The 22596-nt window shown below is 44.3% G+C and overlaps 1 long non-coding RNA gene across 1 annotated transcript in view, besides 2 other annotated features; it reads left to right on the forward strand.

Annotated features, from left to right (window-relative positions):
• Window positions 8156-9004: an enhancer, noted in NCBI's record as "H3K27ac hESC enhancer chr12:9435851-9436699 (GRCh37/hg19 assembly coordinates)". NCBI's record gives its function as "activates a minimal SCP1, AML or CMV promoter by ChIP-STARR-seq in primed H9 embryonic stem cells {active_cell/tissue: H9 hESC(primed)}" and the evidence as "EXISTENCE:reporter gene assay evidence [ECO:0000049][PMID:30033119]".
• LOC642846 (DEAD/H (Asp-Glu-Ala-Asp/His) box polypeptide 11-like) overlaps window positions 8558-22596 on the forward strand; it is a 30432-nt gene continuing 16393 nt past the window's right edge. Inside the window, exons 1-5 of the long non-coding RNA NR_024374.1 lie at window positions 8558-8797; window positions 13103-13250; window positions 18563-18811; window positions 19333-19419; window positions 19718-19875. This is a non-coding gene — a long non-coding RNA (DEAD/H (Asp-Glu-Ala-Asp/His) box polypeptide 11-like). The remainder of the gene's footprint in view (window positions 8798-13102; window positions 13251-18562; window positions 18812-19332; window positions 19420-19717; window positions 19876-22596) is intronic.
• Window positions 14382-15233: an enhancer, noted in NCBI's record as "H3K27ac-H3K4me1 hESC enhancer chr12:9442077-9442928 (GRCh37/hg19 assembly coordinates)". NCBI's record gives its function as "activates a minimal SCP1, AML or CMV promoter by ChIP-STARR-seq in primed H9 embryonic stem cells {active_cell/tissue: H9 hESC(primed)}" and the evidence as "EXISTENCE:reporter gene assay evidence [ECO:0000049][PMID:30033119]".

Below are 22596 nucleotides of genomic sequence, written 5' to 3' on the forward strand. Positions count from 1 at the left end.
TGAGGTGGGAGGATCACCTGAGCCTGGGAGGTCAAGGCTGCAGTGAGCCGTGATGGCACCACTGCACTCCAGCCTGGGTGCCAGAAAGAGACCCTGTCTCAAAAAAAATTTTATGTTATTATTTGTGGTAACTACATATGATTAAACAATTAATACCTTAAGTAGTAAAAGATTAAAAGGACAATACATCCACTATCAACCATTGGTGAGATCTTAGATAAGTTATTTGACTTTATAAATCTCAGTGTTTCTATCTGTAATGGTATGAATATTATTTACCTCAGAAGTTTAAGATCAGATTAAATCCTTTCTATAACTACTGTTAAATTTTATGCATGGCACTCTGTTTGTAAATATCATGTAAGCTGTGAGCATATTCAGTAGAACTTCCATTCTTAAAATCTAAATTGAGATTCACTCTGTACTTCTTATTTTTCTTTCATTATGCATTTTTTATTTTCAAAGGATTAGAACCAAAGGTATCAGCTAATGTGCTCTTTCTCTATCCAGCTCCCTTATTTCAAGGATCAGTACTGACCATGAAGGAACTGCAGTAGAAATAGTTCCTCTTCGTCACCAGGTCTGTGAGGAGGGATCTCTTCTGCATTTTGTACATCAGAGTTACTTTCAGTGCCACCATCTCATTCAGGTGATTAAGGATGACACAGGTCTTTTCAGGAACTCCAGTGTAGAGGTGTGATGGGACCAGCACTAGGTACTACCTGTGGAGGGGAGAAGTCCAGATTAACTATGGAGGGGTCAAAAAGACATCATTATTATGGCCATTTTCTAAATAATCTTTGCTTTTGTCACCAATCATAGAACAGAGACAGATTTTAGCAGGAGTGTATTCTCCAAAGGCCAACCCAAAAGATCTGAGGAACTGAGAAAACCAGAAGTTAAACCCCAGATATGCTTCTCTTCTGTTGTGAAGTACTCACCCACATAATATTAGCAAAGCTGTCAATAGCCATGGGTAAGCAATCCATGAGTTATTATATATTTTGGATAAAAATTTCATAATTTCAATATGCAAATCAATCAACAAATCATCATTGAAAGCATTAAGAACCTCTCTGCATGCGGTCTTGGGTTTTGCATGGATGATACTACAGATCTCTTTGTTCCAGGAAACTAGGAAAAATATAACATTTAATACATGGGGAGAAGCTGAATTGCTTTTCAGTATGACCTTGGGAGCAGGGCCTTTTCTTTCTTTAGCTCTTTTCTTTTCTTTTCTTTTCTTTTCTTTTCTTTTCTTTCTTTAGCTCTTTGGTGATGGAGACGAGGCAAGCTGAGCCAGGCTAATCACCAGACATATTGCCATATACACCCAGAGGAAAATACCACTCTCCTCTCACCAATTGCCTCTCACAAGCACCCAGACACACTACATCTGGGGATGCTGTACGTGTACACACTCTTCTCTCTCTTCCTGAGTGTCCCTGTCTACCCAGAAAACTTCTGTTTGCTTCATAACACATATCTCAAAAGTGACTTTCTCTGTGCAGAATTTGGTGAAGCCCTCTCTCTTACATCAGGCCTCATGAAGAGTGGTCATTCTTTGGAAGTATTCTGACAGAATCCTGCAATGCCTGCTTCTGTTTTTCTTCTATAGTTCATTCTCTGTGCACCATCTCTCTACTTTTCCATACTGTGAGGTGTTGAGGGCGGCGTCTGAATTTTGCTAATCTGTAGATTCCCAAGACCCAATGCCAGCTCCTAAAGGTGTGCCAAAGGATTGAGTGAACTGACACACAAATCCTGGCTTGTCTGTAGAGCATACATTCATCTTGGCAATCCCTTATTTGAGGAAAACACAGATACTGAGTCATTTCACAATTGTCACGACGTGCAATCCATTTTATGAATCAATAAAAAAATGTATCCCTTTTTGGGTAGGAATTCTATATTCTTTTTTGGTAAATGTTTCATAGATGTTGCTGCCTTATGTCTGTGACTTTCCTGAAATTGGAGGATGTCTCTTTCCACATGAGTAGTAATGACTTGCTGATACTTCCTGGCCCTTTTGACAGCAGAAAATTGTGTAGGGAATTAGGAAATACAGATCAAAGAGATAATAGAACGGGAAAAAAGGAGGACAATTTAATTTTCTGGAAATAATGCTTATGGTTCTGCAGCAGCTGCAGCATCACTGGGAAGGAGCAGGAAAAGCAGGATCAAGACTGGCGGGGGCAGTTGATTTCCCATCACGGTACAGAAAGGAAGAGGGCAGAATGGGAGCCTGAGCCCTCGATTCTTTTAACCCTGTTCTTGCTCCAACTCACTGGTTTTTATTTCATCTGATGGGCAGTGAAAGTAAACTGCCAATCATTTATTTTTGTAACATATTAACTACTTCCAGCATAAAAAAATCAATTCCAGATCATTTTCATGACCATATGTATTAATTTATCCACTTTCCCAAATTTTCTAAATTCCTGAAAAATAGTAGTTTGAGGCTACCACTAGCTCAGGTCATTAATCAGTTTTAAAACTATTTTCATGAAAACACAAAACAAATTACATGGTTTGATGAAATAAACCAATATTCTTGCAGTTTTAAAAAGAGGTATTAATGTAAATCCATATCCCAAATATGTTTTGGTAGTCTAGGGAGCACAACATACATTCTTCACCCAAGATTCATCCTAACTGGCTCTTCAGTGAAACAAGGAAGTGAAATCTGTCATAGAATTTTAAATAAGACAAGTTTGGGAGCAACCTCTCCATTGCTTGAAAGATTCACTTTTGATCTGTATAAGTATTCTTATATTTACTATTTTAAAAAGGGCAGTTCATTGGGTATAACAACATATGTAATATATAATTACTGTTTCTTAATTCATTCAACATCTAGAATATAAATTCAGTTAATTTATTTTATTCTCTAAGAAAATGATCTCTCTCTGATGAACATTCTTATTTAATTTTATCCTGAGTGATAGAAAATATTTTATCAACAGTGATGCATCATCCTATTTGCTTTCCAAAGGGGATTCAGATGTTAGAATTTATTTTTATGGAACACTGAAAATAAGAAAGGTCCCATTGTTAAATTAATAAAACTAGGGCCTTATAAAATTGAAGTCTGGATATTTTGAATAAAGAACTGATTTCAACTATAAAATAAGATGTGAAGAGAAATAGGCACTTCTGAGAACGGGGAATATTTTACTGTGTTCCTTTCTAAATTGGGGCTAGGCAGATCTTGACATACACTTTTCTATATGACCTGAAAGAGTGATGGAGAAGTAAAGATGATGTATGTGACAACCCTTGGTGGACTGCAAAACTGTAGATATGTAAGCTATTAAAATTCCAATGATGATAAACTATGGCTAAAAAAAATGCCAAGTCAAATGGAATAAACTGTAGTAATACATTGTGTTGGCCCTTGTAGTCGACAAATGCTTGCTTGGGTAATTGTAAAACTCTTCTGCTTTATTTTGGCTCCATTTGTATGCTCTCTTACTTCCACTCATCTTCCCAGCTCTTCCCACATCCCACCCTCACCCCTAGATTACCATAAACGTGCTTATTCTCTATCAGTTTAATATGGGATAAATTAACCTATAATAAGCAGTAAATGACTTTTAAGAGGTCTCTATATCACTTTTTCCAGGCATGATCATACTTTTTAGATACGTACCAAACCTGTATTTGACCAAATGCTGAATGACTAAACATAAAATCCTTTTTTGTACGTATGAAGCAAAAATTGTCATCACAGTTTGAACTTCTGGAATAGAAGAATAAATCTCAAGAATTATCAGAATTTTATCATTTTAATTTTTAATTAAAATATTTTAGTTGATACATTTGAAACATTTGACATTATAGGGTAAACACAATACTTTCTCAGCACTGTCAGCTAAGGCTTCTATACTCTTGGGATCTTCAAACATTTTCCTTGTATTCCTTAAAAGAATTTTATTAAACATGTAATATCTTACATACACTTGACATCTAAAGTGTCTACACTAAAATAAGTGTAGTATAATACTGATGTTTAAAAAATAAAATGTAATACCACTTTTTAAATGTATCCGATGAAATGTAGACACTGCAGTGATTTTTTTTGGCCACCACCGTTCCTGTAAAACACACATGAACACTTTTTTCACCAGCAGGAAATTTTATATCACTCTTGTTTCTTTTTGGTCTTATATTTTCATTCTACTTCCTCAGGTAATTTTATCCTGGAGTTGCATACTTCAATATATTTTATTGATCGCCCTATTATATGTTTCTGCAACTAAAGATCATCAAAGATTATTATAAAAATATTCTTGAGCCTGTAAAGTTCTAATTAGTAATAAATGTTTTCTAGGTTGCATTATCATTAAAATTATTATCAATATACTATTTATAAAATTATATATCTGCTATAATCTTAATAGATATTAAAAATGAGAACATTTTGTTCAAAAATAATTTTTTAGTGAAATAAATCATGTATTCCAGCTGGCTCCCTAAGATTGTGTATTCTTGGATGAATATTGCTTATTGCTGGATTAAAACAAGTTTCATCTATTCTCTATTTGTTCTACCCTGCTCTATTTCAATTCTAGAATATTGCTATTCTGTTTTCTATTGTATAGATGTAAGCACTAAGGAAACCTGTTCACATAAAGAGAGAAATAGAAATAGGGGACGTTCTATTATAACAATGTTATCTAATTATTTAGGCTTCCATGTTAAAAGCCAAAGGTCACATTATAACCATTAAAAATTACTTTTAATTATCTATCAGCTGATAAGTCCTCTGTAATTTTATTGAAAGCAAAGTGCTAAACCAGGTCAATTGCAACAGGATTTGGAAATCAGCCATTATGATCATTCTTATTCTCGGTTCCTAGAAAGTATTCAATAAAGGCTTAAAAGGACTTATAAACGGCCACCAATCATTACTTTCTTACTTAAAAACACAACTTTTACCAAATATACTCAGAAAGTTTGGAAATTTTGAAATATCATTTATTTTAATATACTTTGTCAATATAAAGCCTCATAAAAGGCTTTTATCTGATCAGAACCATAACCTGCACATTTAGCTCATTTCATTTAAAGGAAGTCTCCACCAGTAACCTGATTTGCAAAGCCAGTCCTTATTGTCAAAATAACCAGTCAAACTGGACTTATTTCTAACAGAAAAAAATGTTGCATTATTTTTAATTTCAATAAACTCACTAATATATATTCCCGGGATGACTCTCCCACTTTGCAATTCTAAGATGAAGAGTTGTGCTGAATATTTGTTACCTAGATGAAGTAAGACAACCCTACTTTGGTATTTCTTTCCATGCTTTCTGCTTTATTCTTATGGAACTCTCAGGGGGAATACAACATTGACAAGAGTTGGAAAAGGGAAGAGGGGAATTTTAAATGTGAATTGTAATCATTTCTGTCACCTCTACAATATGTATGAGTACTGAAAATTTCAGAACAGGCCAAAAGAATCAATTTCTAACATCATGTTTTTCTTATACCAGAAATTGTTTTAAGACAGATGGGTATATGATACCTACAATGGGCTTATGATGCCTTGATTAAGAGAGTTTGTGCAAAAGAGAATTTGTGCAAATATTAATATTTTGATTTATCTTTTTGTAAGAGACAAGCAAGGCGTTTTTCACTCCAAGATACATCTAAAATACATATTATAACTGAAAGAGAAAATGTATATTAAAATCAACTCATAAGTTATGCCTTGATTATATTACAGCATGATGACAGTGGTTTTATAACATTGCTTACAACAATCGTAAGATTATTGATCATTCATAATTTCAAGGATCCCAGAAATGACACTGACATAAACTGAGGGCAAAGCTGACTGTAACTAAAAGATTTTAGCCAAATGTCAAAGTCAAAGATAAATGTCATAGCGCCCTAACAAATAGTATATGTTTATCAAAAGCGATAAACCTGGAGATGTCATCACAACAACAAAAACTTTCATGAAAAAGACAAGACAAAGGTAAGTTACGACTGTAATTGTAGCATTAAATATAGGGACTAGAAGAGAAGAGATATATGTGAAAAAAGTTGACTTTGTAATTGAGAATAGTTTTGATACATTAATTGTATAACAGATTTTTCAAATGATCCAAAATAAAGCTACTTTTCAAAGGAACTCTACAAAAGACATTATTACCTTTGGACATATTTCTAAACCAACTTTATTTTCAAAGAGAAATGTGTTTACGAAGCATTGAGCAACTTTGGGTGGGTTGAGACCGAAAGTATCCTTGCCACTTGAGTATACATTGGGGGAGGCAGAGCTGGAATCATTGGCATATGTGGAATGAAATTAATGCATGTATTAGCACATAAGGGATGTGAATAGCAATACTTTTCATAAACAAAAAAAGCAGGATTATTGGTTGTAAAATTTATCTACCATGTTAATATGCTGAATAATCCTGTACGTTTTCTATCCTTGTGAATACTTGGGCTGGCAGAGAACAGGCTGGAAAAATCAGGAGATTACAGACTACGTTTCCATCCTTCAAGTATTTCCCTGCATGGATACTGAGACGTAGAACAAATGATAAAAAGAACATGATGAATGTGCTTTTTGTCTTATTAGAAAGACTCACACTTAATATGACACTATATTAATATTCAGAGATCAGGCCAGTGGGCTTGTCAACTGAGCTGTAATTCCACCAGCCTGCTTTAGTCAATACTGCAATGGCGCTTCCTTCTATACATATTATTAGAAACTGCCCTAGTGGAAAATAATCTTCTACCAGCCCAGTCTTGCTTTTTATATTAGAATTAAAATTTTTATTCATTAAAAACATTATTAGGAGAGTGAAAGGAAAAGTCACAGAGAAGAAAAAGATATTTTCTGTATATATAATTGACAAGTGCTTATACCCAGAATATATTGAAGACTTCCAGAAATAAATTAGAAAAAGACCTAGCACCTTACACAAAACATCCAAATAGCTAATAAATATATGAAAAGGTACTTGGTCTCCAGAGAAATGCAAATTAATACCACAATGAAATCTCTACATATCCTCCAAAATGGTTAAAGTTAAGATTCATAATGCCAAGTTTTAGTGAGGATGTGGAGCAACCGAATCTCTCATCCAATTGTGAAAATGAATCATCATTATCTACTAGAATTCATCATCCACAGAGCCTCTGTCCCAGCAATTTTTACCGCTACATAAATACCCAGGAGAGTGACAGCAAATGTGCAAAAAGTCACGTATAAGAACATTTGCGGTTGCATTATTTGTAATAGCTCTAAATTGAAAACAACTCAAATGTCCCACAACAGGATATGTAAATTGTGGCATATTCATACAATTAAAACTTTATAGTGTTTTTCAATGAAATAGAATAATGTTAACTGCATCAGTGTCAATGAATCCCATGAATATAGAACTGAGCAAAAGATTCCACATACACACACACAAACACGTATACACAAACACATTACAAATCATATAATTCTATTTACAGAAACACTGGTGTGTTCATTCTAAGTCATCCAGACTAGTCTTCTTTCTTGCTCTTAGTGAATCACCAATGGAAGTTTTGCTCAGGAGAATGAAATGTCCCATACTTGTACATGCAAACACTGGGATCCCCAGTTACCACAACCCCAACCTGATGGGTCTCCTACCTTCACCTCCTCAGCCATACTAAACTCCTTGCTTTTCTTTGGCAGTTGAGAATCTTTCTACTTGACTTGAAGCCTTCACACCTTTTATTATCTTCTGTTGTATTGTTCTTCTGTATATGTTCTGATAGCTAACTTCCTTACTGCCTTAAACCTTTGCTCATCTATCAGCTTCTCAATGAGGTCTACCCTGATCACAGCATTTAAAACTGCAAAGTCTAACCCCAATCTTATGATACTCTTGATCTCCCTTGCTGTGCCTTTTTAAAAATAACATTTGTCATTTTATGACATGTTATAAAATGAACTTACTTATATTTCTTGTTTATTGCCTGTCTCTCCTCTCTGGAATATAAGGCAGAGATGTCTTGTTTTTCACTGTTTCTTATTATTCAGAAGTATATCCACTAATAACAAGCATTCAATAATTATTTGTTGAATAAATAAATGAAAAGAATTATGTGCCCATGAGAAACAACACTTGCTTTTTCTTTCTTAAAAGTATATAAAAAGATGAATGGATAAATTGAATTGTATGCATATATTTAATATAGAATGAAGCAATAATATTTCAAGGAGAATGACTTAAGAATAACTTCAGATGATGTGAAGTCAGTCTTTGTACAAGCAATCACATAACAGAGTCAATTATATAGTTTTATCAGCAGATCACAGGGCCTTCTTTCTCTTTTGTTAGTGACATAGATGAATACACACACACACACACACACACACACACACACATATATTCTGTATAATCATTAAAAATGTCACTTAATGTAAGAAAGAATGCGGTTCTCATTTACATTCTTCTAGTTTATTATTATTTCTTGAGAAAATATTGCTGGGTTAATTATAAAATAGATTCTGGCTGTTGCGTGTTAGCGCGCGTCCCGGAGTGCGCATGCGCAGCGGCGGGGGTTGTTCCGGCAGCCTTTCACTGAGGCCACCCGCCAGTTTCAAATTCAGTGGCGTTTGCCCTGATTCCCGGGGCCTGGCTTTCAGCGTAGCAATTCTGCCGGCGAAGAAGGTGAGCGCAGTGCTGTGTGGCAGCAGAGGTCCTTAGGACGAGGAACAGCGGGACGAGGAAGGGCAGACTGGTGAAATCGCAAACTGGGCGTCTGTTCCGGCACCGGACCCCTGTTTGCAAAGGTGGGTGGCCCGTCCGGAGCGGAAAAACATTCCGGAAGTGGAGGGCCGGGCCAGCGTGATTGACAAGCGGGAACCCCTGTGTGGGGACGGGGCCGGCCTAGGAAGGTTGTGCCTGCGGTGGAACGGCGCGGTGCGCAGGAGTCGGCATTAACAGCAGCCGCGTGTCTGGGTCTTAGATTTGGCCTAGCTGTGTTGAGCTTTTCATGGATTATGTTACGTAGATAAGACACTGCAACAGTGAGTGAGCGCTTGTAACCCACCTGTCTCTTACAGAAACTGAGCCCCAGCGATACTAACTTTAGCAAGGATACAGCTGGGATCCTAAACTTGGCGATCAGAGCCCAGAGCCGATAAAGTTAGCTGCGTGAGTCTAGCTTCCCCCGGGGCGGGAATCGAGGCGGAGCAGGGTACAGTACGGAGGCCAGGGATGAGTGCAGTTGACCAGATTGTTGACGGAAGTGTCATAAAAGTGGACTTAAATGTTGATAAGCAGCTGGTTGGGTTCCACACAGGTTGCGAGCTCAGGATGCACGTTGGAGGGGACACAGGGCCAGAGCAAGGTGGGAATGCGGGTATTATGGGCCAGGCCATCCTCCAGCTGGTGGAGCACCGCAGCACTGCAGTGTGTGGCCCTGGCTTAACAGCAGTGCGGAAAAGCTTTTCTCTTGGGGCTGTGGTGCTTTCCAGGTGTGTGAAGTTAAAACATTTTAGGGCCATACGGTAGGTAGTACCTGCCACATAGTTGTCTTGGTCAGCCCCGGCTGCCGTGACAAAATACCATAAACTGGGTGGCTTAGACACAGAAATGTGTTTTCTCACAGTCCCAGAGGCTTGGGATGTCCAAGATCAATGTGGGGAGGACACAACTGAGCCCACAACAATAGTCTGTACTCGGTAATGAGTGATAATTGGGGACTGAAGAAAATGAACACGTTAAGAACTAATATGTTCCTGAAGTGCTTTCACAACTCTAACCTCGTTTTATGAGCGTGAGCTTTGCTGTCCTGGTGTGTGCCTTGGCACTGGGAGGTGATGGTTGTCCTCCACACAGCCAACCTGAAGAGGGCTGAACAAGTCGCTGCAAATGTTTTTAATAGGGCTTAGTGAATCCGTTATACTCAGATTTATCTAAACCTCTATGATTTAGCCTGTGCTGCTTCTGGAATAATGAGATCCATAATTACCACTGATGGGGAAGTGAAATAATACTTAACGTTTCTTCTGTATTGTTTAGTGTTGTCATTCTAGAGTTTGGTCACCAAATCTGTCTTTTTTATCCCACTTACCCTGGTGGGAGGAAAAGTGAGGAGATAGAAAGTTTCAGGTGGCTTGGGGGTCTGGCAGATGTGGTTCAAATCCTGAGTTCAAGCACTTGCTGAGTGACCTTGGGCAAGTCATATAAGTTTACTGAGTCTCAGTTTCTTTCTCTATAAAATAGAGCTTATAAAAATACCACACAGGGTTTTTGTGGGGTTATCTGAAAACGGTTTGAAACCATTAAAGAACTGGCCATTTAACTAATAGGTATTCAAGTCATGGGACCTCCGTTACCCAGCCTCGGAAGAGAAACCTTTACTTACAGCCCCGATGTCTGGCTGGCTCCTCATTCATTCATCAGATTTTTGTTGAATGCCTATGAGGTGTTGAAGCACCTAGTTCTGAGTCCTGGAGCCAGAGAAGAGCAAGACAGACAAGGTTCCTCTATTTATGGAATGTATATTCCAGTGAGGAAGAATAAATAGGTTCAGATGGTGCTAAGAGCTATGAATAAATTAAATACAGAGTAATGTGATTTTTAAAAAGTGACTTAGAGCAAGCTAGGGGGTGAGGAGTGGGGGTGGTGTTTGACCACTGTCCAGCGGCCAGACAGCCGGAGAGGCTTCTCTGAGGAGGTGAGCCAAAGCCTGGATATTGAGGAGGACTCCTTCTCCAGGCCAAGGGGAGCAGCAAGTGCAAGGCCCGAGCTGAGTAGATGAGGCTGGGAGCCAGACCAGTCTTAGGCTGACCAGTGCTCTGTCTTGAGAGGAGCTGCTGGTCAGCTTTTTGTCTTGGGATTCAGAACGAGGAGACATAAAGACTTTTTACTTGGCAGTGGGAGCTGAAGCTGAAAGGTCCAGGGGCTGATGAGGCCACGTGTAAGCGAAAGTTTGGGATAAGCAGAAACCGAGTGCGCTGAGGGAGTGAGATTGTGGCTGTATCCGGCGCCTGGCTGAGCAGGAGAGTGAACCCCGTGGGTGTGTGTTTGCTGGTGACGTTCCTGGAGCTGTCTTGAAGTCCGAGCTGCCTTGCAGCTCTAGTCTGCTTCTGTTTTTGGCTTTCCCAGATAGTTTCAATTCTTACTCTCAGTTTGTGAACCTCCCTTCAGTGAACCTCCCTTTACTTATGCTGGATATCTCTTGCGACTGGATGAGCTTCACTAAAGCACAGTCATTTGGATCTGGATTCGAATCCCTGGTTTTCCACTTTTTAGCTGTGAGTTTGAGCAATTATTTAATTTCTGTAAGCATCAGTATCCAGTAGCTGTATCCTTATAGTGTTGTACAGATTAAATGAGATAATAAAAGCAAAAGACCACTGTAGAGTGTTTAACACATAGGAGGTACTCAAAAATTTGTTAGGTACCTTTCCTCCCCTTTCCTTCATGTGTTAAAGCTTTTTCAGTACATACCCCTCTCTCAGGATTGAATTGTAAGTCATATTTTTTAATTACCCTTCTTGTAATAATTCCTCTACCTCTGTAGTCATGTTTTTCTTTTTTCATTTTTTCTTGTCCCCAGAATGTCTAACAAAACAGCCAAATATACCTCTGTAAAGACAGAGGGTAAAATAATGCTAGTTCTGTGAGTTCTCTCTTCTTGTGCAAATCCATAAACTGCCACCAATCTGTAGTCATTTTAATTGCCCCTAAACCGAAGAGCATCATGGCAACTACCTTTCCCCTCGTAGAGTGACACTATCACTAGTCTTACTGAGGCCAAAGTTATAAAGATGGGCTCTCGATCTACTAATATTAGTAAAATGGGTTTGGGACTTACTAACATTTGTGCTTAGAAGAGACAGACCTGGCAAAGAGCTTGGAGAAGTGAGTTCCAAAGAGAGAGGTGTGGGAACCAGGATGGAAGAGTCAGGCCTCCAGATAGCGTTTACTTCTCCTTTCTTCCTTGAATCACTGTCTCAGAGATAATTAGGTTCAGAAGAGGAGGAAAAAAAAGATGACGTCAACATGGAGCAGAGTTTTTCTTAGACCTTAGCCTAGCAAGGAAAGAGAAATGCCTGGTCTCAGTGCTGGGAAGCTGTTTCAGCCAGAGCCCCGTGGCTGTGAAGAGAGCTCTCCTGTCTGGAGCCAAACAGAAAGCTCATAGGTCTTGAGGCCAGAAAAGTTAGTAGGTGGCGGCTCTGGTCGGTGCTGGAAATGGAGGCCAGGATGAACTAAGAAGCAAACTAAAGATACTTGTAATATAAGGACGTGTAGGCTGGGTGCGGTGGCTCACGCCTGTAATCCCAGCACTTCGGGAGGCCAAGGCGGGCGGATCACGAGGTCAGGAGATCGAGACCATCCTGGCTAACACGGTGAAACCCCGTCTCTACCAAAAAAAAAAAAAAAAAAAAATTAGCCGGCCGTGGTGGCGGGCGCCTGTAGTCCCAGCTACTCGGGAGGCTGAGGCAGGAGAATGGTGTGAACCCGGGAGGCGAGCTTGCAGTGAGCCGAGATCGCGCCACTGCACTCCAGCCTGGGTGACAGAGTGAGACTCTGTCTGGGAAAAAAAAAAAAAAAAAAAAAAGATAAGGACGTGTATGTTAACTTGCGCTATCCAAACAAGCTGTGCTTATGGTCCTCTGCCTGTGCGTCATGATTTTCCAGGACTTCACAACGGGATAAAGTGAAGTAGCTTCGGCTTGTGAATGTGCATTGCAGAGACGTGGGAGAAGAAAGCTGCAAAAGTCATTATGAGCAACACCCTTGATCTTAGGGGTGCTGGTCTTTGAGAAGAGAGCTCTAAGCCTTTTGTAGAGGCATTAGAAAGGTATCGGCGCCACGGTGAAATGCAGGGGAGATTGGGTTTAGGGGCTTTCCTGGTCTGCATTCTGCTACAGCCGTTAAATGCCGCTAGATGGAGTGCGTGATTCTGGTATGGCCTCATGTGGACCTGCGAAGGATGGAGAGAACATGGTCTCTGCTTCCCAGAAAAAAAGGAGAAATTTGGTAACAAGTGTGGAGACTGCTCTTAAATAATGCTCCAGATTTCAAGCCACTTCTTCCTGGACCATGAGAGAGCTCCCTAATGTTGTATTTATTTTTCCTAGGTCCATGGCTAATGAAACACAGAAGGTTGGTGCCATCCATTTTCCTTTTCCCTTCACACCCTATTCCATCCAGGAAGACTTCATGGCAGAGCTGTACCGGGTTTTGGAGGCTGGCAAGATTGGGATATTTGAGAGTCCAACTGGCACTGTGAGTATGAACAGTGAGAGATACTGAAAAGGACAACTTAACGGCAGCTGTGCTAGCTTTTCCTGTTTGCCCATCCAGAGATTTTCATAGTTTGAAGTTGGGCAGAGTAGTCTCTCTCAGTTTATCTTTCTGAGTAATAGTCGCTTCCTCTATTAAAATCTTTTTTTTTTTTTTTTTTTTTTTTTTGAGACGGAGTCTCGCTGTGTCGCCCAGGCCGGAGTGCAGTGGGACGATCTCGGCTCACTGCAAGCTCCGCCTCCCGGGTTCACGTCATTCTCCTGCCTCAGCCTCCTGAGTTGCTGGGACTACGGGTGCCCGCCGCCACGCCCGGCTAATTTTTTGTAGTTTTAATAGAGACAGGGTTTCACCATGTTAGCCAGGATGATCTCAGTCTCCTGACCTCGTGATCCGCCCACTTCGGCCTCCCAAAGTGCTAGGATTACAGGCATGAGCCACCGTGCCTAAAGTCTTAAACATAGCTCTGTGGTCTGAGAAAAATTAGGCTGAAGTCATTGGTGCCTACCTATTACGGTAGATGAGATGGCTTTCTTACCAACTCTTTTCCCTCCGGTTCCCCATCCTTCAAATATAATTCTAAGTTTTAGTCTCTGCTGAGTGAACCAGTGCGTTATGATTATGTTTTGAACATAATTTTGTCTTGAACAATATGTCTTAATATTCTGTTTTCTCTAGTTAATAATTGCCCTTTTAAAGTTAGTTTAGTTTTTAATATACCTATGCCAGTTCCTCCCACATCATCCAGTGGCCTCTCAATATGATTTTCCATACAGATAACTCCTGTCTTAGTCGGCCAGGACTGCCATAGTAAAATACCATAGACTGGGTGACTTAACAGGAATTTATTTTCTCACCATTCTGGAGGCTGGAAAGTTGAAGATCCAGATTCTGGCAGGGTTCTGGTTCTGGGGAGGGGGTCTCTTCCTGGCTTGCAGATGGCTGCGTTCTTACTGTGGAGCAAGAAAAGAGGAGGAGGAGAAAAACAAATCTTTGGTGTCTCTTTCTCTTTTATGAGGACAAGGGCTGCTCCCTTATGGCTGCTCCTTTATGACCTCCTTTACCCTTGAAGGCCAGATCTGTAGTACAGTCACATGGCGGGGTTAGGATTTCAACATATGTTTGTTTGTTAAGATGGGCAGTCTCACTATGTGGCCCAGGCTGGTCTCGAACTCAAGCGATCTTCCCCTCTCAGCCTCCCAAGTACCTGGTGGCTGGCAAGATCCAAGATTACTGGTGCACACCACCATACACAGCTTCTTTTGTTTGGTTTTTGTTCTTTAAAAACTTTTTTTTAACATGCATTTTGGTGGGGATACAATTCAGTCCACAGCAGTGACCAATTCCATTTTTACCTTGGAGCCCTCCTGGAATCCTCCATCCTTTCCCTGTCATTTGAATTAGTTGCTCCTCAGACTGACTTGACAGATTTCAGCATGAGTGTTAGTGGGGACAGACGGCCGCACCCACACCACATCAGGGTATATGTCCGTTTGGAGGCTTTCCTCAAACGTCTGGCAGCCCTGGACTGCCTGTGTATGCTGAAGAAGAGGGCACAGAAAGGCTGAGTCTGCAGGGCAGGCTGGCTGTGGCTGCCAGGCTGGGCTCCTTTGTTGGGGGCCTCCAGTTGCCAGCACATCTGTGGGATTTTCCCTAGAGTCTTCGGTCTCTCCAGAGCAGGTGCCTCTGAGCTCTGGCCCAGCAGGTACAGACGCTGAAGCCCAATAGCCGGTCTTCCGGGAGGTGGTCTGGGGAAGGGGATCCAGGTGGAGAGTCCCCCTCAGTGCCTGCTTTCAGCCTGACCCTCCTCTCCCTCCCTCTTGCCTCCTCAATCTGCCAGTTGCCTCCAGGGCTCTCCTAGCTCAGCTTCCACTTAGAGCCCACTTCCTGTGTTCTGCAAGGAGCAGGAGCAGGGATTGCAACCTGGGAATCTAATTGTTCTTAAACAGAATTTCAACCCGTCCCTTTGTTTTCAGTGGCCTGCTGTGTTCCTACCACTTCCTGAGTCTTTCTGAGAATGAGTGGGGGAGATCTCTGGGGACACTTGGGCTTGAGTGTCTCTGCCGAATCACTTCCATGTCTCTGCCTTCTTTCCCTCTCTCCTAAAACATATTACTCCTTCCACTTTCTTTGTTTTTGTGGGTGTAAGCCTCCATATTACTTTGGTTAATTTTAGTGTGCTTTGGAACACAGATGAGTGCATGTTCATTCTGCCTTGTTTAATTTTAGAGACAGGGTGTCGCTCTGTTGCCCAGGGCCGAGTGCAGTGTTAAGATCATGGTTCACTGCAGCCTCGACCTTCTGGCATCAAGTGATCTTCCCACGTCAGCCTCCTGAGCAGCTGGGACTACAGGTGTGCGCCATCACACCTAACTAATTTTTTAATTTGTAGAAATGAGATCTCACTATGCTGCTCAGGCCGGTGGTCTTAAACCCCTAGGCTCAAGCAATCCTCCCTCCTTGGCCTCCCATAGTGCTGAGATGACAGGCGTGAGCCACTGTACCTGACCCCTTTTACCTTGTTTAGCCTGACAACCCATCTTCTCCCTCTCAGGTCTTTCCATCTCAGTCTTCTGCACTCCAGGCTTCTGCATCTTCCTCCTATGCTCAGCCTTTAATTGTCGATGTTTCTGGTTCTATAGCTTCATCTTCTTGTGTGCACTCTCTGTGAATGTACCCTGTGGCTTTATTACCTTTGACATTCTTCTGTCTTCTAAATCATCTCCTGAATAGAGTGTTTTCTCCTGTCCTGGGTGTCCCCCAGCCCATAGGAGCAGCCATGCTGTGGGACACCCTGAGTGGGGTCTGTGTTACCTGTTGTGCCTACCATGCCCTTCCCCGCCTTGGATGCACAGGTGCCCCACCTTAGCTGCCCGAGATGCTGTTTATCCTTGATAGTCACCTTTTAAGCCTTCTACAGGTCTATCAAGTTGAGTCACCATTACCACTTGGTGTGTGCTGTGCCTTGTGTAACACTGCAGTTCCGGGAGTCCTCCAACCTGGAATGCATGCTTTGCGGGGATCTATGATGCCCTCGAATTGTATGTTACATGTGAACCTGTGAGCATTTTCTAGGGGCTCTGCACCTTTGTGTTCTCAGCTCTGAGCCCCATGCTTGCTGCAACCAGCAGGTGTTCAGAGTGAATGAATTTGCTTATCTTGGCATAAATCATGTAACTGTTGATGATACCCCAGGAAGGTGAGCCTTTGGTTATAAATCCTTTTAACATTTTCCAGTCTAAAAGTTTTGTGGTCTTATTACAGGATGTAGAAAACAGTGGGCCTCAGTTATTCTTTTGCTGTTGTGCCGGAGTATACCACGGTTGTTTTTGAAAGATAACTTTGACCATACCCTTAGGAACTTCCTCAGCTCACTTTCAAATGGAGGGCACTGGCTTTCTAACCATTGTGTCTCCCAGCCCAGTGACAGCTGAAGCTGTCTGCTTCCGATATCACAGGCAGCACAGAAGAGCCGCCCTCCAGGTGCTGCTGGGAAATGCTGCCTGGAACCCTTTGCCATTTACTTTCTATCAAAAGCTGAGGGAAATGGTACATATGGGGCTTTCCTAAAAATATGGGATCCATCCATTTGTCAGCAATGTCATTCTATCCTATCCCAGGGCCTTTCAAGATTTTGGTGAAAACTAATAGATCCCATATTCCAGAATAATGCTATTAATAATTTTATTATTATTACTTAATGATAGCAAAAAGTTAGCTAACTCCAACCGCTCACTTGTTATTTGCCAGGTAATCCTCTGATCCAGAGGATTTGGCCTTTTGTGTGTGTTAATGTCCTGCTTGCACCAGCTGTATGAGGAAGGTGCCACTGTTGTCATTTCCATTTCTGCACTCGTGGAAACAAGCGTAGTGAGGCCAGCCTGAGCCACAGAGCTGCAGGTAGGGGAGGCAGCTGGAACCCTGGCGCCTGGCTGTGGAGTTTGAGGCTCTGACTCCTGCGCCGCGCTGCTGCCCCAACCCTAGTCATACGAGGTGTTTCACCCCGCCCTGGATACTCTGAGATCCCCTCTGGGTTCAGCAGGCTCAGAGAGCTGACTGCCTGGAGCAGAAGGCATGGGGTCCTCCAGAGACTCCCCTGAGCTGAGTTCCCCTGTGGACACCAGGGCCGCCTCCTTGTGGCGCTCCCTGAAGGGTCCTCTCTGGAAGAACTGTATTGGTTCCCTGGGGCTGCTAGAGGAAAGCTTCACAAACTGGGGCTTAAACAACAGAAACTGACATCCCACAGCGCTGGAGGCTGGAGTCCGAGATCAAGGTGTCAGCATGCTTGGTCCCTTCTGAGGGTCGCGAGGGAAAGATCTCTTCAGGCCCCTTTCCTTGGCTTATAGGGGCGTGTTCTCCTTGGGTATCATGACATCGCCTGCCTTCTGTGCATGTCTGCATCCACGTGTCCCCTTTCCAATAAGGATATTAGCCCTTTAGGCTGGGTCCCGTCCTAGTAGTCTCATCTTAACTAATTACATTTGTGACAGTCCTATTTCCAGATAAGGCCACATTCTGAGATGCTGGGGGTTAGGATTTCAACACAGGAATTTGGAGGAATACAATTCAATCAGGCTTATGGACAATTCTGGTCTTAAGTCAAGAGTAGTGTTCTCCAGTCTGTATGTGGAGGCGCACACCTATGGTCCCAGCCACTTGGGAGGCTGAGGCCAGAGAATTGTGTGAGCCCAGGAGGAGTTCCATACCAGCCTGGGCAACATAGCAAGACCTCCTCTCAAAAACAGACAAAAAAAGTGGTGTTCCAGAGTGATTAGTTTGCTTTAAAAAAAAAAAAAAACAAAAAAACAAAAAAAAAAAAACACAAACCGTAAACACTGGCACTCGTGACTGATCATCCTGTATCCACGCACGAGCTGCACGAAGGCCGCGCGGTCACTGTGGCTCCCCGTTGGCGAGTACCTGGGATTTCTTGCTCAGCAGTTTGGGGCCTTAATTCTTTTAGGGGACTTTTTGTCTAATGTCTCCCCTTCTTCTAATTATGTGCGATATTTACATAGAATCTGATAAACTGCTTCAAATTTGTTTTCAGAACAGTGAGCTGGATAATTAAAGAAGCTTTTTCCTGCTTCTTGGGCCCAGTTTCCATTTCTTCCTTTTTTCTGTTTTTCCTGGCTATTCTAGTGCTAGTTTCCTTCCTTTCCTTTCCTAGGCTGGCCTTAGAGCATCCTCTCCTATGTACAGCCAGACCTTCTTTCAAGCTTTTATTAAAATGGGGAAAGGTCATTTGGGAGGCTTTGTTGTTTTCCTGTTTCTAAAGATCATTTTTCTTCCTGCAGGGGAAGTCCTTAAGTCTTATTTGTGGGGCCCTCTCCTGGCTCCGTGACTTTGAACAGAAGAAGCGTGAAGAAGAGGCACGACTCCTTGAAACTGGAACTGGCCCCTTACATGATGAGAAAGATGAATCCCTGTGTCTGTCTTCCTCCTGCGAAGGGGCTGCAGGCACCCCGAGGCCTGCTGGAGAACCGGCCTGGGTTACTCAGTTTGTGCAGAAGAAAGAAGAGAGGGACCTGGTGGACCGACTGAAGGTGAGACCTGGGGTATCCGGAAGTGGGAGTGCTGGAGGAAACAGGGCTTCAGCGATTGTTGTGGGGCGATTCCGAGACTCAGGCAGTGCATGCTCCCCTGCCGTTGCTGTGCCTCTCAGCTCTTCCCTCAGCTCCTTGGGTCGATGGTGCTGCCGCTGTGCTGTCTCTTTTGAGCTGGAGGTCAGCAGGGCCTTCTCCACACAAGGAACTGTTGGTGCCCATTTATTACTCACCTGGGAAAGGACCTGATCGTTGCCATTGGCAGCATGGTTCAATGGCTGCAAATGGATCTGATGGAGAGCGTGTGGCTTTGGGAGGAGCGTGCCGCCTTCCACAGTGAGCAGCGAGGCTGGGACCTGCAGGGATGAGGTCCCGGGAGGGGATGCGGCAGCCCTTGAGTGCTGGTCGGGGAAGGAGAGCTGCCCGCAGTGAGGAGGCGCCGGGCTGAGTGGCCCAGACTCCTTAGGAGAGGCCTGGTTTTGGGCTTCCTGGTGATTTTCCTTCATGTCTGCCTCCTGTAGGTGGAGCAGGCCAGGAGGAAGCAGCGAGAAGAACGCCTGCAGCAGCTGCAGCACAGGGTGCAGCTCAAGTATGCAGCCAAGCGCCTGGTGAGCCTCATTTCTTGGGGGGCAGGATTATGTCCAGGCAGGGTCGCCCTGCTTGGAGGCTCATGGGTGCGTGGCCAGGGTCTTGGTCTCCCCTCCATGACCCTCACTGGCTATGTGCTCCCGTACAGAAGCTGGGCTGTGAGTGGTTGAGGCGTGGATCCTAGGAGTCGACCTCTCTCCAGCCAGGCAGCCAGGCCTATGTGAATGGGCGTGGTGTGCTTTGTCTCTGGCACGTGGGGAGGTGGGTACTGGTGCTGAGACTTCTTCCTCCCTCCCCACCTCCACTGCCCCTGTCCAGAGGCAGGAAGAAGAAGAAACAGAGAATCTCCTCCGCCTCAGCAGGGAGATGCTAGAGACAGGCCCGGAGGCCGAGCGGCTGGAGCAGCTGGAGTCTGGGGAGGAGGAGCTGGTCCTCGCCGAATACGAGAGTGATGAGGAGAAAAAGGTGGCGAGCGGGTGAGACAGAGGCGGTAGCACTACCCTGCCCCAGGCCAGGGGACACCCTTGAAGACAGCTCTTTCCCTCATGCCACAGATGCCATGAAGCACCTGGCAAGAGGCATGGTGGCCTCTGCCCTCTGCTCTAAGCCGGGTCCCTCCTAGGGTCCATGAGTGCCAGTGGCAGTGAGGACAGTCACCGGCCTGGCCTGTGTCCTCTCAGCTGTCCTCACAGCAGCTCAGGCAGGGCAGGAACATTTGTGTCTGCACCTTATACACAAGGAGGCTGCAGCCCCACAAGGAGAGACTCCTTGGCTGAGGCCACAAGCCTCGGCAGTGGAGAGCTGGGCTAGAACTCAGCCGGCCTGGCTCTACATCTCAGGCTCTGAGGCAGCTGACTGCACTGGGTAACCTTTGAGGTGCCAACCGTCAAGGCGTCCTTAGCCTGAGCTTTCCTTCTCCCATAAAGCCTCTGTTGGTCCAGACTCAAGGTTTCCACTTGATGAGCCATGAGCTGCTGGGTGACTTAGCCCTGAGCAGGCCACCCAGGCCATTTCGGGCCCACAGGATCCCTGGTGACAGCCCCGTTTCCATTCACACTGGAACCTCACCACCATCCCTGAGTGTCTGCTCTGAGTATGGCACTGTCCAGATGCTGTGGACGTAGAAGGGAAGAAGACATGGAGGGGACAGTTAATAGACATGAAAACAAATAGCACCTATGTGAAGTCAGCATGTTTGCCTACAAGGAAAACAAAATGGTGATGTGGATGGGGTGGGGGGCTGCACCTGATGATGAGTCCCGTGTGTCCTGTGACATCCTGGCCACCACATCTGTGGGAGGGTAACTGCAAGACCAGAGACCCTCCGTGGATATTCCTGAAGGTTCATCCCCGGCCTTCACGGTCTGTCTGCAGGGCGCCTTCTGACGCCACCTCCAGCCGCCATCCACCAGACGCCAGCTTCCCCGCTGCCCTGAACTTCCTCCAGCGCACCAGGCCTTCCTCTGTCCTGTCTGAGGATTTGCTCATGCAACGTGCTGTGGCCAAACACCCTGCCCTCCTCCCTTGGCAGATGTCTTCCTCTCCTTTAAGGCCTGGCTCAGGTGTCGTCTTGGTGGCTTCGGGTGTCAGCTGCTCTGTTTTGCTCACGCACCTGCTTGTGCTTCTGTTGTTGCCTCCTCTCCCTGGCTGGGCTCGAGCTGCTTCAGGGCAGGAACCACGTCTTTACAGTTTGATGTTCCCAGAGCTGACCCAGTGTTTGGCATAGGGGTGTGCTCAATAAAATCGAGTTGACATGAATGAGCAGATGCTGCCTCGTTGCAGTCTGGTAGTGTAATTCCAGGCTGCCCATGTGGACTTCGACTTCTGCCCCTGCCCAGGGCAGAGACCACCGTGTTGCTTTATGCCTCGCTGGTGAGAGGGGGTCATAAACAGTTTGTGCTCCATGAACCGTTCCTGCCCACCTCCAAGGTCGTGTTTCTGCTCCCTCTCTTCTCCCTTAGAGCCCATGGGGACAAGGCAGAGAACTTGAGTGGAGATGAAGGTGGTGAATATTAGAGGAACAAAGTGCTCCTTCAGGTCTGGGCAAGAGCCGTGGATCCTGTAGGTCAGCTTCCGGGGCTTCCCATGCCCTCACGTTTCAGGAGATAACGTGAGCCTCAGAGGACCTGAGTTCTGAATAGAAAATTTTTGCTCTTCATTTCTTCACACACCCAGCCTCTCAGTGAGCTCCTGCTGGCTTTGTCCAGCATGCGACATAAGATTGAATCCAAGCCTTTTAAGATAGAGCCGCCTGCTCTTTAGTGACCATGAAGCCAAGCCTGTAATAATTACTCTTCTGATAGCCCAAGACAATTGTATTCTGCTTTGTTAGAAAGGAATTTCGAGGTGAACAAAAATGTTTTCTTTTTATGTGATGTTGCCATAGGTGGCGTGTGCCTGTCAGATGGTTTTGTGTTTTCTGAGGAGCATAGACTAGTAGAGCTAGCTCAGCTTCAGGCCATGGGATGCAGGGCTGGCTTCCCTGCCAACGCCTGGCGCTGATGGATTCTTCCCGCATTGCTGGAAAGGGCAGACTGAGGCGCTGACAAAAGAAGAGTTGCAGCTGGTCATAAGTGACAGCATCCTCTGTTCACTCGATTGGTCAGTTGTAGCTTCATCCAGGAGATGGTCATGGGGTTCCTGCTGCATACCAAGCTCTAGGTGAGGCCACGGGGACTCAGCAGAAACAAGGCCGACCTGGGTCCTCCCTTGTGGACATGACAGTCTGGGGAGATAGACCGAGAGGAAGCAATTTTGAATGAGATGGGTGTGAAGGGGCCATGAATCTGTGTCAGAGCAGCCAGACCTACCAGGGAAGGTCAAAGAAGGCTTCCTGGAGGAGGTGATGTTTCTGCTGCTATCTCAGAGTTGACTGGGAGCTGGTGAGGGGAGACAACATTCCAGGCACAGAACATCCGAAGGCCCGAGATGATGAAGAGCAAATATCCCCCCTGGGGCCTCAGAGGGGTCCAGCTTGCTGGAGGGAGGGCAGAGAGGAGAGCAGCCTGCCATGAGTCCCGAGGCTTCCAACTCAAGACTTGGGTTTGGGGTGCTGAGCTCATGTCTCCTTTTTACATTTCCCTACCCACAGACCTGAGCGGCCACGGGAGGTTGGGGTTGGCATTTGCCTGGGGGAGTTTCTGAGCAAGCAGCACCTGCTACCTTGGTGGAACCCATTGCTGGGAATGGCCAGGGCT

The sequence above is a fragment of the Homo sapiens genome, chromosome 12 (genome assembly GCF_000001405.40).
Source record: "Homo sapiens chromosome 12, GRCh38.p14 Primary Assembly".
NCBI classification, from domain to species: domain Eukaryota; kingdom Metazoa; phylum Chordata; class Mammalia; order Primates; family Hominidae; genus Homo; species Homo sapiens.